We start from the raw sequence: 16,865 nt of genomic DNA, 5'->3' as shown, positions 1-16,865 counted from the left end.
CAATGTATGAATACCTGAGTACAAGCTCTCTCAACCCCCTCCTTCCAGTAGGAGAGCCTGGCACCGGGAGATGGGGTGACTGGAAAGAAGGAGCCTCTTTCCCTGGTTTCTGCCTTGGGTTGGATCCAGGGCATCCAGGGAAGGACTCAGATTCAAAAGTTTTGGAGCCTTGTTGGGCCCAGGTAGCTTTGGATGGGGTAAGCGGAGGCCCATCCCAGGTGGCCCCTCTCATGGCTCCTCCTGGAGTCTCATGATTTCTAGGGCTCATGCCAGCTCCTACTGCCCCACTCCTTGTAGCTCTCCTCCTGGGCCCCAGGGCCCTGCTGGGGGTTGATGTCTCTGCCATCTAACATCCACTGAAGCAGAGGCCTGACTGTAAGTGTGGGGATAGAAGGGCTGGCCAAGGGTTGCCGCAGAAGGGCAAGGCCAGCCGGAGGGCCCAGCTCACACGCCATGCAACATCAGGCTCAGTGGAGTTTAGAGAAGGTAACCGAGCTCCCTCTGCACCCTTGGGAGTCTCAGGAAACCCTCTAAGAGGCTCCCAGCCCCAGGAAGTGTGTGGGTGCTGCAGGAAGTGGGTTACAGCAAGGCTGTTCAAAGGTGTCCACGGTGCCTTAGGGGCCTGCTGGGGAGGTGAGAAGAGGGTGCTAAGTGAGGGGCAACTCTGTAGGTGGTCCCTCACAGGCCACCTCTAGATTATTTGATGCTGGACTCCATTCTAAGGAATCCCACTGTAGAGTAATGCTGAGAAGCCCCAGATAGGCAACTCTGAAAGCTGTTCCCACTCTGATCCTCTGAGTGCCTGCGTGGAAGGGATGCGGGAAAGGGCGCCAGGACTCAGGAGGAGGGCTGAGCTGGCACAGTCCTATCTCAGAGCTGCCTGTCCAACCACCACAGACATCTCAGGAGGAGATCAGCACCGGGAACATAACAGGCTCTCCGGAAACATTTCCTGAAGGATGAGCAGATGATTAAACCTGGACGTGTTTTCCCACAGCTCCTTCCTTCCTCCCCTGCCATGTGGAACCCTCAGTCTCTGCCACCTTGATGCCCCAGAGTGGAGTCTTCACACATGGTCCTGAGCAGGGGCCAAGGAATGGGGCTCTGGGCACTGACTCACAGCATCCCCCTAGAATGTGAGAAACACATCAAATCTGAATACACTAGGATTCCTTGCATCCATCACTTTGAGACAGGCCATAAACCACAGACTCTCTCCAGCTTTTCCGTACTTATTCTGTCTTCTGGATTCCCGCCTACTCCATCTCCCCAGCCTTGTTGAGGTTCTCTATTGCCTCTTGAATACAAATGAACCCCCATCCCAGTTTTAAGGGAAAAAAACAGTTCTCTTTCCTCTTTGTTTAAGCATCCAAGATAGTTTGAATATTTGTTCTCTCTAAATCCCATGTTGAAATTTGATCCCCTATGTTAGAGGTAGGGCCTGATGGGAGGTGTTTGAGTCATGGGGGCAGATACATCATGAATGACTTGGTGCCGTCTGCAGTAATAACTGAGTTCTTGCTCAATTAGTATTCACAAGGTTTGATTGTTACAAAGAGCCTAGCACCTCCCTCTTCTCTCTCTCTCTTCCTTCCTCTCTCACCATGTGATGCCAGCTCCTCTTTGTCTCTCACCATGAGTAGAAGCAGTCCGAGGGCCTCATCAGAAGCAGATGCTGACACCATGCTCTTGTACAGTCTGCAGAACCACAAGCCAAATAAACCTCTTATTTATAAATTACCCAGCCTCAGGTATTTCTTTATAGCAACACACGTGGACTAAGACAGTGTCCTACTCCTCACACCTAAAAAGAAAGCAGTTCTCCCTCCTCTCTCTGGGATGGAAACACTAGTTGTTTCTGACAATCTGCAACTTTCCTAACCCTGTTGCTCATGGCAGGAATGCCGCGACAGTTCAAAAGCTTTGGAGTCCTCTTTGATTTCTTTTTCATTTACACGCAACATTCAATTATGCCTTCAAAGTGCTTATGTCCACTGATGAGATGATAAACGTATAACAGTTGACTCTTCAAAAGGAAAAAGAAGGCCGATTTATAGCGCTTGTCAATTTTGATAGTGTAAATACTCCCAATGTAGCCAGTTTCAAGCTTCCAACAGTTTAACAACCAGATTGCAAAATTCCTTAAAGTTTGACAGTTGGCTGTCTTGAACCAGCCCAAGCCTGCTCCAGTACACCACTGAGTTATATTTATAACCTGCGTGCTTCTCACCTCCATCGCTCCTTCCTGGTCCCAATCAGTATCATCTCTTCCAAACTGTTGCTATTGTCTCTACTGGATTGCAGTTTTCAGTCACGATGATTTTTTTTTATTTTTTGAGATGGAGTCTCGCTCTGTTGCCCAGGCTGCAGACTGGAGTGCAGTGGCACGATCTCGGCTGACTGCAAGCTCTGCCTCCCAGGTTCACGCCATTCTCCTGCCTCAGCCTCCCGAGTAGCTGGGACTACAGGCGCCCACCACCACGCCCGGCTAATTTTTTGTATTTTTAGTAGAGACGGGGTTTCACTGTGGTAGCCAGGATGGTCTCGATCTCCTGACCTCGTGATCCGCCCGCTTTGGCCTCCCAACGTGCTGGGATTACAGGCGTGAGCTACCGCGCCGGGCCATGATTTTTTTTTTTTTGAAAAGTCAAATCCTGTCATTCCTCTGAGTCTTCCCCAAAACAGCTGCATGGCTCACTCTCTTCTTTCCTTCAAGTAAGTTTCTGCTGAAATTTCACTTTATTAAAGACACATTTTGTAAACCATGGTGAGGAAAAATAGTCATTTTCCTCTCCTACCCTAGAATTTCAATTCCTCTTATCCTGATCAGTTTTTCTCCTCAGCACTGTATTATATTACCACGTGTACTTATTTTGCATGTCCTCACTTTGCATGGCAGTGCAGGATTGTAAAAATAACTGGAAACCATGAAGCCCTGGTAAACAACTCTACATTCAATGGGAAAAATAATGGTTGTTCTGTGATCCTCATAATTGTTGTCAAAGTATTAGAAACTGTCATATTGTCAGTTAGAAATGTAGCAGGAAGTTCAAATATTTAGTATACTGTAATTCAAAGCATTAGAAACATTGAGAGTTAAATTGTTTTATTTCTTTCTAAAAATGTATCAACAGTAGTTGGAACAGTGCTTGCCTTTGTCTTGCATATTTACTATATGGAACAAGCGAAAGAACAATAGGACACTCTGGTATATTTTTAAGTGATTGCTTTTCCTTTCCGTGTCCTGGGAGCACAAGTGAATATTTCTCCTATATTCACTCTGACGAGCTAACCAAGCTCCCAGAGATAAAACTCACAAAAGTGTGGGAGACCTCCGTTATTGGGTCCTCCTCGAGTTTGTGTCTAAGACTGGCCCACACTGAGCCTCAAGAAATTCTTCAATTACAGTGCAGGCTTTCCTTCCCCGGCACTGGTTCCCACAGAGGTTTTGGCTTCAGGAAGTTGTGATTCTCTATATTACCCTGCCCAACTCCTCAATTCTGGGGACAGTGGTTTGCCCTGTGACCTCGTTTTTCTGACAGATCTAAGAAGAAATGTCACTTTTGATTTGCTCAGCTGGTTCCTTGGTGTTGACTTAAGGGACTTTTTGCAGGGGTTGTGCAGGGGACTGGGTTTCATCCCAGAAAGCTGCTACAGCCACAAGCCCTCAAATGTGCCACATCTGGAATTATGGTCTCTGAAATTGCAAGCTCAGTCCTTAGCTACAGAGCCCTCTTGGTCTGGGCTGTCAATGAGGAAGGGTCATGGGACCCCTGGCATGAGATGAGTGCCTCTGAAACAGAGAGCAGGTTCTGGGGCAGTGGACCTCTCTCCAGTACTGGCTAAATCTACCCAGGCCTGGGAACCCCAAGCACAGACATCCACAACTTCCCAGAGATGGCAACTGTGTCCACTTCCTCTTTCACAATGGAGGATTGTCCCAGTCTCATGGCCCTTTCTCCCTACAGCTACCTCACTCCTCAGACAACATAGCAGATAAGCAGATGCCCTCCTTTCCTGCAGAGTAGAGTCTGGATTCTCTCCATGAGACAGTCTGACAGGGCAGGCAATGTCCATCCCTGTCTCCCAGCCCATCTGGACAGCCCCTGCCACTTCCTCTGCTACCAGGACTCACAGGTGAGTGAGTGCAGCCTGCTCTACATGAGTGTATTTCTACATGGTGTCTCCTCACCCTCTCAGCCCATGTTACCTGCTCCTATTGATTTACATTTGGGAGCATTTTCTTCTCTCCCATCCCAGCATGAGACAAGATTTGGAACAGCTTTTCCATGAGCATTTGAGTAGACCCTTACTGGGGTCATATTGATTCCCCCAGACGTCATGCCTATAGCATGCCCCTGGTGCTGGTAATGACTCCATGATTCTAGGGCTGGGCACATGACCTCAGCTCATCATCGTCGTACTCCACCTCCACCAGCCACTGGCCAAGGTTGTCACACAGCATCATAAATTCTTGAGGGCAGAGGATCTGTTTTTTAAAATTGTTGCTATTACCAAAACACTACCTAATAACGATAATATCTAACTACTATCTATAATGATAATGGTAATACTGAATATATAACTTTTGGAGGACATGGTCAGATAGTATTAAGTAATTTGCATATATTAGTTCATTTAATTCTCATCACAAACTTATGAAGATGGTATGATTATTCTCTCCGTTGTACACTTGGGGAAACTCAGGAAACAGGGAAGTTAATAGTGACCCCAGGATCACACAGCTGGGACCCATTAGAGCTGGATTTCAGACCAGGAAGTTTTGATTCTTAAGCCCACAGTCTTACATCTTTAGTCTTCTGGAGCATCCACTGGCTCCCAGTTTCTCATGTGTCCCAAAGTCGTCCCTGGTTATCTGCACCTGCTGTGATGAGTCAGGGTGAAATATGGCAGATAAAGGAGAATTTTGGCTCATGGACTCCCAGGTTCCTGGTCCTCTCAAACATTCAGATTTTATCTATGCTTCCCCAAGTCACCTAAATTTAAATTTCAATTCTCCACGTGATTTCCACAAAAATTGTAAGCATCTGTGTACTTAGTTGATCTTTACTGAAGGATTGAAGTTCACAGGAAGGCACTTGCTGCTCTAAGCACAGATTCTGCCATCTTCCTGACACTATACTATGCATTTTTGAGTCATATACGCCCAATTCTTATTTTTGGAGACATAATACTTTATGACTCACACCTCTCAAAGTAATGTAGTAATGTGGATAGGTAAAAATAGAGCAATAGGAAAAGATATACCACAATATTGTGGTATATTTTTACCTATCCACATTACTTTGTTTGGGTGTGTCTCTGTGCTGTACCACAGGAAATTTCCCCTACATAATCACCCAGCTTACTAACTTACTATTATACTTATTTATGTATAGTCAGCTAGTCAACCTATTAAGTTTTTTTAAAAAATTTCAGCACTGATTATGTTTTCATTTCCAAAGTCTGTGTTTTGGTATTTTTTCAAGATGGTTGTTGTTACCTCATGCCCGCCTATTTCTGTTTCATATTATTACATGCCTGATGTTGGTTTATGAATTTACTTCTCTTTTGTTTTCCTTATAAGATCATTAAGTATACTAACTTTAAAGAACTTTACACATTTTGTTTTTTCATATTTGCTCAGGTGTGAAGTTCTTTTGATTGCTATTTGTTTTTGAGTTATTGTTTTTCTTGAATTTGTTAGCTGCAGTGCTGTTCCTCAAATCTTTGGTGATTCTTGCTTGCACTTCCGTCTTCCCAGGAATAATTCCCCATGTGATCATGGGTTGTCAGGGCCTCGTGGAGCATGGCACCTGCCCCAGCCTCACTATGAGGGCTGCTCCTAATTGAGGCTATAGCTTCTTCTCTGCTTTCTTCCTGAGGGATGTCTCTCCCTTCCTGCAAGAGGTATCATAGTACAACCATTAAAAGTGAAGGCTGTGGAGTGTGGCAGCCTATGTTCCAGTTCTAAAAGCCGGGTGATCTTGAGCAAATTCATTACTCTCCATGTGCCTCGGGTTTTCTCACCTGTGAAAGGAGGTTAATGGTTGAGCTTACCTCATGGGGTCAGAGCAATGATTTAATGACATTACCAATAGAAAAATGCTTGGCACCATATCTGGAGCACAGGAAACTCTCAATAAATGATAGCTGTTATAATTCCTTCATGTCATATAGAAGCCAATTGCTTGTATTCAAGTGTAATTAGACATTGATTCATATATTCTTTTCATTTTGTGTTTTCACTACTGTGGGTGTGGAGAAGGAGGGGAAGATTTCACCCTGTGTACATCTGCCACATTAAAACAGGACTTTCAATTAAAACATGATAACATTTACAATTTGATTTGACAATTATTCATGACAGATTAAGAACCTAAAACCCACATGTGAGATGAAGGATTCTGGACAGGTCTTTCTTAGTCATAGATGCTGGAAGAGAAATCATTTCTTTTAACAAGGTGGCTTTTCTAAGGCACAACGGTGGCAGAGAACCAGTGGACTCTTCCTGTACACAGAAAATAATTATAGCCATGTTTTTTTGCTTATAATTAATTATGAGTCAAGCATTCAGTATGGCTTATATTATTCCTACCATAGCTCTACAAGGTGCATATTCTAACATTTATTTACATACAATCAAACCAAGGCTCAGAGAAGTAGTGTCTTTTTGAAAATCACACAGCTGGAAATTGTAAGAGGAGGAATTAATCTATGGTTGAACAAGGAGCGGGATTTAGAGAATCCAGAGGGAGAAACTGATTTCAGGGTGGCAGCGAGAGTCCAAATACACTATATAAGCTGGGTCTCAGGAGGCCTGGGTTGCTGGGAGAAAGCCACTGGTGGGCAACTCAGCATGCAGGAGGGATCCATTCAAAAGCAACATTTGAGTTCCCGCACTTCACCTGGCACCGTGAGTATCAATAATGACCTACTGGGTTTCAGGCATGATATGCTCATTACCTCTTTAATCGTCACTAAAACACTGCACAAAAAGACTTACTATTCCCAGTTTAGGAGATTGAAACTGAGCATAGGAGGGCCCAGCGACTTCCCCAACTCCTTGGCACACACTCTTGGCAGGAGCATGGATTTTTCCTCTTTCCTCATTTCCCATCCGAACTCAGTGATGAATGAAATAGGTGCTCTGTGTGTAGAAGAAAGGGTATTGAAATTGATGCGACGGCCCCAGGAACCTGCCCACCATAATCTTCCCTCATGATAACCCTATCCCCTTTCCATAACCCACAATCCCCACCTCACTCCACAAAGCAGTTGCTTATTACCTCAAACCCAGTTTCTCTCCTGGAAGGAGTCAAGAAATAATTCCTTCTGCTGGGTGCAGGCACATGAAAGTGCTAAGGTCCACAAGAGACTGAATTTGGGCTAAGTGTTGCCAATTATAGCAATTTGGAATAGAAAATCATTTCAGGAGAAGATCTGGTTCCTCTCCAGTGTTGAGCAGGTCCTGTGAACTCTTCTCCTACGTCCAGCGGAGTGGCATTTGGTTGAGGCTGGTGCAGAACAAGACCACAAGCCAACCACATCCTAGGGTCTTGAAATAAAGACTTTAGAAAACAATACCTAACAACAGATCTTTCTTGACTTAAAAGCCTCAAATGGCAAATCACCAAGAAGACCTGAAAATGGGTTTGGGGACACGAGGAGGGAGCACAGGTCCCAGGCAGGCAGGAAGCATTATTTCTGCTAACCCTGTCTGATTATCCTGAAAATGGAGCACGATTAACTCCTTGCTTTGTAGCTGCCTACTGTGCCTGATTTGTAAGTCACAATCTAGAAGCAGGTTACTGTTGCATTCCATCATAGCCACTTCCTCTTGAATTGAGGGAGGCAGGGCTTGTCTTCTGTCTTCAGAGCAGGGCCTGACATCTCCCCAGAACAGACGTTTGAACAGAGCAGGCTTCTGAGGTCTCCAAAATGCCTGTCCCAGCCTCCTGGCCCCATCCTCCTGGTCCTTTCCTGCTTCTGACTCTACTGCTGGGACTTACAGGTGAGCATTGCATTGGGCTAGAACCCTTTCTCCCTGCTTCCTGGACCTAGCCTTGCCCCTGGACTTGCAGCAATTTCAGATAAGCACAAGCACTGCCAAGGAAGGTCAAGGACTGGACATTGTCCAAGAGCAGAAGATCAGGGAGCTGAGCACTTTCTCTGTGGATCTGCAGCTGGCTACCAGAGGCATCAAACCTTGTGAGGCTTCTGCCACCATCACAATTAGTTACATTTTTATAATATTTTATTTGACAAACACAGAAGAATCATTATTAAATCCTTACCTGTCTTGAGTCCTCCTACCCATTTTTGTGTGCCCTCCTCCTCTTTAAGAAGTTCCACATTTCATGCTTACAGCGTCCTATATTCCTTTCTTAGGGCTTCCACAACAAAGCACCACAGACTCAGTAACTAAAACAATAGACATTTACTTTCTTTCTTTCAGTTCTGGAGGCTGAATTGCAAAATCAAGATGCCAGCAGGGTTAGTTTCTACTGAGGTCTTTCTCCTTGGCTTGTAGAAGGCCATCTCCTCCATGTGTCTTGACACATGGTCTTCCTCTGTGTGTGTCTGTATTCTCATTTTCTCTTATGAGAACATCAGCCATATTGGATTAAGGCTCCCCGCCAGTGACCTCATTTAACTAAATTGCTTCACCCATTTATGCCTAGTGCTCCGTTATTGGATCACTAAGCTTGCGGGAGTTATTTATATCCTACTGCTCAAGGGCATCGCCAAGGTCTGATTTTTCAAATTAAAAAAAAATTGCAACCTCGGGCATAAATGGGTTAAAGACCTTGTCTCCAAATATGGTCAAATTCTAAGGCGCTGGGGATTGGGGCTTCAACCCATTCGTTTTGGGGGCACATTCAGCCCATAACAGGCACCACCATCTCCCTTGGTCATCTTGACTTTCCTCTGGAGAATTTATTTTCCCTTCCCCCAGGCAGACAGGATTGGGAGGTCTTTCCTGGTGCCACCTGAGAGAGCCCTGTTCACAGCTCCCAGACAGGCTGCCTGTCTTCACCCCTTTTTCAGACCATGCAGCTGACCCCCGGTCACAGGGCTGGGCACAATAGCCTCTCAGTTGCCCACTGGGCCCTGCTGTGATGTCATCTCACAGGTCTTAGAGGGCAAGGTCTCACTTTTCAAATTATTTTTTTTACACATACACTGTACCCAAATGACAGCAGTAATAGTTCAGCAATTGCTCTCTTCCTGTAAGGCAGATGCACTTCTTAGCATTTTGTGTGTATTAAGTCAACTAATCCTCACAGCATCCCTGTGTGGAAGCTATAACTCTTGTGCTCTATTTGCAAATGGGGAGTGAGGCAGAGGCAGGAACCTGTTCATTGTCCCCTACTTCAGTCCATGGAGCAGTTGGGATCAAGTCCAGGTTGACCAGTTCCAGAGTTTATCACCCTTTTAACCATGTTATGCTATGTGTAGAAATATTAGAAAATGCAGGCAAGCAAACATTAGATTAATAATCACCCATCACACCAGTCAGAAACAATCAGAGGTAAAACACTAGTGTATGTATGTTTTCCCAAAATGTTAAAAATGTGTTGGATGGTTTCTATGTGCCAAATATTTTACTGAGATTTTTAAATTTGTCATAATTGTAATTAATGCACAAAACAACCTTATATACTAACATGATAAGCCAAACTTTTATATATATTTGTGAATGTGTATATATACACATTATATACACATATATATGCACATGTGCCTATGCATGTACATGTACATGCACAGATGAGATTTCATTTTTAATCATTGGTTCTCTTTCTATTTTCAGTGAAATTTTTAACAAAATAAATATTTTATTTTATTTTTATTTGACAAAAGTATGTATACTTATGTACAACATATTAAGAAATATGCATACATTGTGGAATGACTAATTTGAACTAATAAACATATGCATTACCTTACATATTTATCATTTTTTATTGTGAGAACTCGTAAACTCTGCTCTCTCAGCAGTTTTCAAGAATACAATTCATATTATTAAGTATAAACACCACATTGTACAATAGATATCTTGAACTTATTTCTCTTATTTAAATTGAAATTTTGTATCCTTTGACTAATATCTCCCCAACTACACCCCCTCTCTAGCCCCCGATAAACACCATTCTACTTTCTACTTCTATGAGCTCAACTTTTTAGATTCTTCATACGTGAAATCATACAGTGTTTGTCTTTCCGTGCCTGGCTTATTTCACTTAGCAGAATGTCCTCCAGGTTCATCCATGTTGTTGCAAATGACAGGGTTTCCCTTTTTGTAAGGCTGATTAGAATTTCATTGTGCATATATGCTACATTTTCTTTCTCCATTTATCTGCTGATAGACACCTAGGTTGATTCCATATCTTGGCTTTTGTAAATAATGCTGCAATGGACATGGGAGTGCAGATATATGTGTGACATGCTGATGTCATTTCCTTTGGATATATGCCAGTAGTGAGATTACCAGATCAGATAAGAGTTATATTTTTAATTTCTTGAGGAACCTGCATACTGTTTTCACTAATGGCTCTACTAATTTATATTCCCACCAACTGTCTGCAAGGGTTCCCTTTTCTCCACATCTTCTCCAATACTAAATTTCCTCTTTTTGATAATAGCCATTCTTAAAGGTGTGAGATGATAGCCCACTGCGGTTTTAATTTGCATTTATCTCATGAATAGTAAGGTTGGATTTTTTTTTATACGCTGACTTGCCATCTTAATGTCTTCTTCTGAGAAATGTCTATTCGGATCTTTGGCCCATATTTTAATAGGGTTGTTTTCTTATGGTTGAGTTGTTTGACTTCCTTATATATTTTGTATACTGACTCCTTATCAGATGTATGGTTTGCAAATGTTTTCTTCCATTCTATAGGTTGTCTCTTCACTCTGTTGATTGTTTCCTTGGCTGGGTAGAAGCTTTTTTAGTTTGTTGTTAATGCCTTTTGTCTATTTTTGCTTTTGTTGCCTGTGCTTTGGGGCTCAAATCCAAAAATGTATTGCCAAGACCAATGTCATGAAACTTTTCTTCTAGTTCTTGTACAGTTTCAGATCTTACATTTAAATCTTTAATCCATTTTGAGTTGATTTTTGTATGAGGCATGAGAAGAAGGCCTAATTTCATTCCCCTACACATGGATATCCAACTTTCCCAGCACCACTTTTTGAAGAGACAGACCTTTCACCATTGTGTTTTCTTCACACTTTTGTCAATAGTCAATTGAGTGTGAATGTGTGAGTTTATTGCTGGGCTCTCTGCTCTGATCCATTGGTCTATATATCTCTTTTTATGCCAGTGCCATGCCATTTTGATTACTTTGACACTGTAGTCAATGTTGAAATTAGGCAGTGTGGTGCTTCCATCTTTGTTCTTTTTTTTTTTTTTTTTAGATGCAGTCTTGCTCTGTCGCCAGTCTGGAGTGCAGTGGTGTGATCTCAGCTCACTGCAATCTCCACCTCCCGGGTTCAAGTGATTCCCCTGCCTCAGCCTCCCAAGTAGCTGGGACTACAGGTGTGCACCACCATGCCTGGCTAATTTTTTGTATTTTCAGTAGAGACAAGGTTTTACCATGTTGGCCAAGACGGTCTCGATTGCCTAACCTCGTGATCTGCTCGCTTCGGCCTCCCAAAGTGCTGGGATTACAGGCATGAGCCACCATGCCCGGCCCCATCTTTGTTCTTTTTGCTCAAGATTGCCTTGATGTAGCATATCACATTTGGAGATTTATGAATGTTATACCATCCTTGCATTCCTGAGATAAATCTCATGTGACCATGCTGAAACACACACAGAATTTTAAAGACTTTCTTTACTGTAAACTTCAACTCATTTTTTCAGTCTATATGAAATGCACATTGAAGAGATGTGTGGTTTTCCCTATTGCCCAGCCACTCTCCCTCCTTCCTACTTCTCTAATCTTACCACTGAAAGTCCTCCAATCTGTTAATAGAAGCAACAGATAAGCAAACTTCTCTCTTGGTAAAATGCATTTTCCCTCAAAGCAGAATTTCTGTGCATTTTTATCCTGAAATTCCCTCTTCCATGAAGGTAGAAATGAGGAAAAAAATGTGGGGATACAGGTGACACAGGTCTGCCTATATTACCTATAACTATAGTTATATTTATATCCATATCCATACCCTTATCCTTATCCTTGTCATCTAATGTCCACTGAAGCCTCCAAGCCTCAGAAATCTACTGAGCAATAACTTTACAATTTTTGAACGTTCACCATGTGGCAGACACTGTTGAAAATGCCTTACCTCTTTTACTTCATGTGATCATTATATACAAGGTAGATATTCTTGTCACCTTTCCTAACAGATAAGAAAACAGAAGCACAAAGTGCTCCAGGCTCACTCATTGGTAACTGGTAGAGCTACGATTTGAACTCAGGCACTCTGACTCTAGAGGTCACAGGTTTCACCATTACTCAAACACTTCCGGTCTTGATTCTATTCCATGAGATTTCTGCAGCTGCTGCTCTTGGGTGTGGAGTGGGCAATGTGGTGTGAAGGGAGATTGTGGTTTTCTTCTCTGGGCTCTTCTACTTTCTGTATGTTTGCAAACTGATTTTTTTTCACTAAGTCCTCTACATGGGAAACTCATTTTCTGTCAAATTCCACAGGAGCAAACCACCTAAAATAGAAGATTTCAGTCTTCGAGGGAAATGTCCCACTGAGCAATTCAAACATTACACACATATCTATTGGATACCTACTATGTGCCAGGATCTGACATAAAAACATGGGGTACTTTGGTAGAATAAAAGAGAAAAAGTAATTGCCCTTTTGTTGCTTACATCCACTGCAGAGAAAGACAGTAATCAATACACATGATAAATAGGTGAATGAAAAAATTAATTTTTGACAATGATAAGTGCAATAAAAATAAAGTATGAGTAGGTGAATGTTATCATCTTGTGAAAGTATTCATATATCCTTTTTATTGTTTTCATCGTAAATAGATGTACAAATTTACCAGATGCTTTTCTGCATCAAAATAGATGATCATGTGTTTTTTCTATTTATTCTATAAATAAATATTTGTAGAATACCATATTGTTTGTCTGTCATTTGTATATTGAAACATACTCATATTCCAGGAATAAATACCACTTGTTCATGGTTTATAATCCTTCTTACATGCTGTTCAATTCAGTTAGCTAGTATTTGGTTGAGGATTGTTGCATCAACAAATCCAGTAGTAATAAGGCCACTGTCAACAGAAAGGTGTGCAGCTGCACCTGACAAATTTTAATTTTGTGTTTCAGTAGAAGTTTAAGTTCCAGTGGGACCCATTTCAGATGAGCAGGGACTGGCCTGTGAGACAACCAGTGGTTAATGCTTGCAACAGGAAATATTCCCCCTAGATCTGGACCACAAGCCAGTAGATTCTAGTAGATAACCAGTCATTTTTTGTTAGAATGAAGTAAAGAACAAGGCAGAGAGGGGCTTTTTTGTTTTGTTTTATTTTTTGTTTTGCGTTAGAAGCCCTGGGGAAGTTTATGACCATCAGGAGTGGTCTAGAAATTCCAAGAGGAATGAAAATCATTGCCAAAGTCTCTAGAGAGAAGAGGTATTTTTGTTTGTTTGAAAGCACTAAAAGGAGTGCCTGTTGATTTTAATTTGCAAGTAAAATTTGTAAATGTAGAATACATTGCCACTGGCACCTCAAAACAACTCAGAGATGCTGGATTATGTGATATTATTATAAGTATCACATGAGTCTTCTTTGAAGAGGTTGCTATAACATCCTGTGCTCTTGAAGAAAGGCAGCTGTCATTATTGATATTGGAATAGGATACACATTTTAGGATAGAGAGTCTTGGCAGCACTCCAAAAGGCAACACATAGCTGTGCATAGCACAACACAAGAAAGGCATCAGGGCAAAAAAAAAACCTTCTCAAATTGTGGAGCCAATCAGTAGCAAATCCGTAAGCCATGAACAGTCAAAGTGCATCTCCTAGGAATTTGCTACCCCGGTTTAGAATAATCCCCTCCTCATTGCCATTAGTGTTGAAAATGGTAGAGTAAGTCCTGCAGGTTGTGTCTTAAAGGATCACTCTAACCTGGTCATGAGAATTTCATCTGGAGAGGCATAGCTGGGTAGGGCATGCCACACAGGAAGCCATATGGGAGGAGCTCCCAGGGAGTAGGCTCAACCAAGCAGATGGGGAAGCAAGAGAGATGAGAGATGAGAAGCCATTGCCTTTAATGGGAGTCAGGGTGGAGGACACCAAGAAAAAGCATGATGGGTTTTACTAGAACGTTTCAGTGTCACTAAGTCACAGAAGAGGAGGACAAGAAGAGGAATTATGGCAGGGACCAGCTTTATCACAGTGGTGTACCTGGTTTGGCAGGGTGCTCACAACTTGTTTGTGGGATGTGGAGGTATCAGGTAAATATGATTTTTTAAAAAAAATTTACATATAACTGGACATCTTTATTTCTTCATATAACTTTGAGTTGCCATATGGCATCATTTCATTTCCACCTGAAGCACTCCCTTTAGCATTTCCTGTAAGCAAGCCTTTGTGGTCATGAACTATCTTAGCTTTTGTTTATCTGAGAATGTCTTAATTTCTCCCTTGTGTTTGAAGGACACTTTCGCCAGGTATAGAATTCATGGTTGACAGGTTTTTCCTCTTTCAGCATTTTGAACATATCATCCCTCTGTCTTCTGACCTCCAATACTTTATATAAAGAGCTCAGCTGATAATCTTACTGAGGGTCTCTTGTATGTGAGGAATCGTTTCTCTCCCACTGCTTTCAGGATTCTTTGAATTTAGTTTTTGACAGTTGAATTATAATGTACCTTAGTGTGGGTCTCAGATTCTATCCTTGAGTTAAACTTGCATTTCTTCAGTGTCTTTAAATTTGTGCATTCATGTATTTTATTAAGTTTGTGAAGGTTTTGACCATGATTTCTTCCAATAATCTTCTGCTCTTTTTTCTCTTCCTCTTTTTTTTCCCCGGAACTCTAATAATGTGTATTTCAATCCACTTGATAGTGTCCCAGAATTCCCTTAGATTCTGTTCTCTATACTATACTCCATTTTCCATCCGTATCTCAGTCTTAATAATTTTAATTATTCCATCTTGCAGCTTTATGATTTTTCTTCCACCTGTTCACACCTGTTGGGGAACCCCTCTACTGAACTTTCAATTGTTGTATTTTCAACTTCTAAGTTTCTGTTGGATTTCTTTTTATAATTTCTCATTCTGGATGTTCTTGTTTTGTGAATGTGTTTATATCCCTGCTGTTTTAGTACTTTGTCCATTTTTTCCTTTACTTCCTTGAGCATTTTTAAGACAGTGGTTTTAATACTGGGTCTAGTGTCAGAGTGCACCCAACATATCAGAAGGGTCCTTATAAGAAGGAGAAAGGAGATTAATTCTTTGAGAAGGACATGTAAGGATGCAAGCAAGACATTAGAGTGATAGGAAGATGTAACAGTGAGAAAGGAATGTGGGCAGCCTCTAGAATTTGGAAAGGCAAAAACTAGCCTGCAAAAGACGCATAGCTTTACTGACAGTTTTTAAATACATATATATATATAAAATATATAAAAATATATATGACACTTATATGACATATATATATATATATATATATACACACTTCAAAGTAGAGTTCAGGAGTTCTATTCAGGTCCTCAACCCAAAACTCTACCTTGAAATTGAATCCCTTGGCTGGGCTTGATGGTTCTCACCTGTCATCCCAGCACTATGGAAAGCCGAGGCAAGTGGATCACTTGCACTCAAGTAAGGGCAACCTGAGCAGAATGGTGTGACCTGTTTCTGCAAAAATACAAAGCTTAACCTGGCATGGTGGTATACACATGTGGTTCTAGCTACTCTGGAGGCTGAGGTAGGAGGATCACTTGAACCTGAGAGGTTGAAGTTGCCGTGAGCCATGATTATGCCTCAGCACTCCAGCCTGGGCAACAGAACAGGACCCTCTCTCAAAAAAAAAAAAAAAAAAAAAAAAAGAACCTCTCTGTGCCTCAGGCCTCAGTGCCCTCAATTGTAATACAGTCTTATGTTATAGGCATGTTGTGAGGGTTAAATGAGATAATACATGCAGTGTGCTGAGATCAAGTCCTGCTCCTGATTCCTGATGTGCACCCAGTCACTGAATATCTTTGATAAACATGAGGAAATACAGGATTATGTAAGGATGAAAAAATGATTGCTTTGTGCTCCTTTTCAGAAGTGGCAGGTGAGGAGGAGCTACAGATGATTCAGCCTGAGAAGCTCCTGTTGGTCACAGTTGGAAAGACAGCCACTCTGCACTGCACTGTGACCTCCCTGCTTCCCGTGGGACCCGTCCTGTGGTTCAGAGGAGTTGGACCAGGCCGGGAATTAATCTACAATCAAAAAGAAGGCCACTTCCCCAGGGTAACAACAGTTTCAGACCTCACAAAGAGAAACAACATGGACTTTTCCATCCGCATCAGTAGCATCACCCCAGCAGATGTCGGCACATACTACTGTGTGAAGTTTCGAAAAGGGAGCCCTGAGAACGTGGAGTTTAAGTCTGGACCAGGCACTGAGATGGCTTTGGGTGGTGAGTACAACATGGACCTCCCTCATCCCCTGATGTGTGACAATAACTCAATAGTAACACCTTCCATTCTTTGAGCAACAATCAGGTGTGATTTTCAGTGCTCATTTTCAAGACCTGTTGTCACCCCCTTCTACAGATCAGGTGAGTTGAAGCCCAGGGACATCATGCTATTGCTCAAGGTAAATGATTGCTAGTAAATGATGGGAGAGACTACATCTTCAATCTGTCTGGCTCTACAGCTCTTGTCCTTCCCAATCTGGC

At 42.2% G+C, this 16,865-nt stretch overlaps 1 protein-coding gene across 6 annotated transcripts in view, besides 1 other annotated feature; it reads left to right on the top strand.

Annotated features, from left to right (window-relative positions):
- The window catches only part of SIRPG (signal regulatory protein gamma), a 57,304-nt gene that overhangs the window by 20,800 nt on the left and 19,639 nt on the right, over window positions 1–16,865 (top strand). For 5 of the 6 annotated variants that reach the window (NM_080816.3, XM_005260749.5, NM_001039508.2 and 2 more), the window contains exons 1-2: window positions 7,877–8,014; window positions 16,248–16,604. In NM_080816.3, coding sequence (NP_543006.2) covers window positions 7,942–8,014; window positions 16,248–16,604 — 430 coding nt within the window. In that variant the 5' untranslated portion in view covers window positions 7,877–7,941. Of the gene's footprint in view, window positions 1–7,876; window positions 8,015–16,247; window positions 16,605–16,865 lie in introns of those variants that run through there. The other variant, XM_011529286.3, reaches the window with a different exon arrangement.
- Window positions 297–366: an enhancer, noted in NCBI's record as "active region_17458". NCBI's record gives its function as "activates an Ori minimal core promoter by ATAC-STARR-seq in GM12878 lymphoblastoid cells {active_cell/tissue: GM12878}" and the evidence as "EXISTENCE:reporter gene assay evidence [ECO:0000049][PMID:35858748]".

Source organism: Homo sapiens, chromosome 20 (assembly GCF_000001405.40).
Source record: "Homo sapiens chromosome 20, GRCh38.p14 Primary Assembly".
In the NCBI taxonomy this organism is placed as follows: Eukaryota; Metazoa; Chordata; class Mammalia; order Primates; family Hominidae; genus Homo; species Homo sapiens.
The sequence above is the reverse complement of the archived record's forward strand: the minus strand, read 5'-3'. Positions and strand labels throughout refer to the sequence as shown.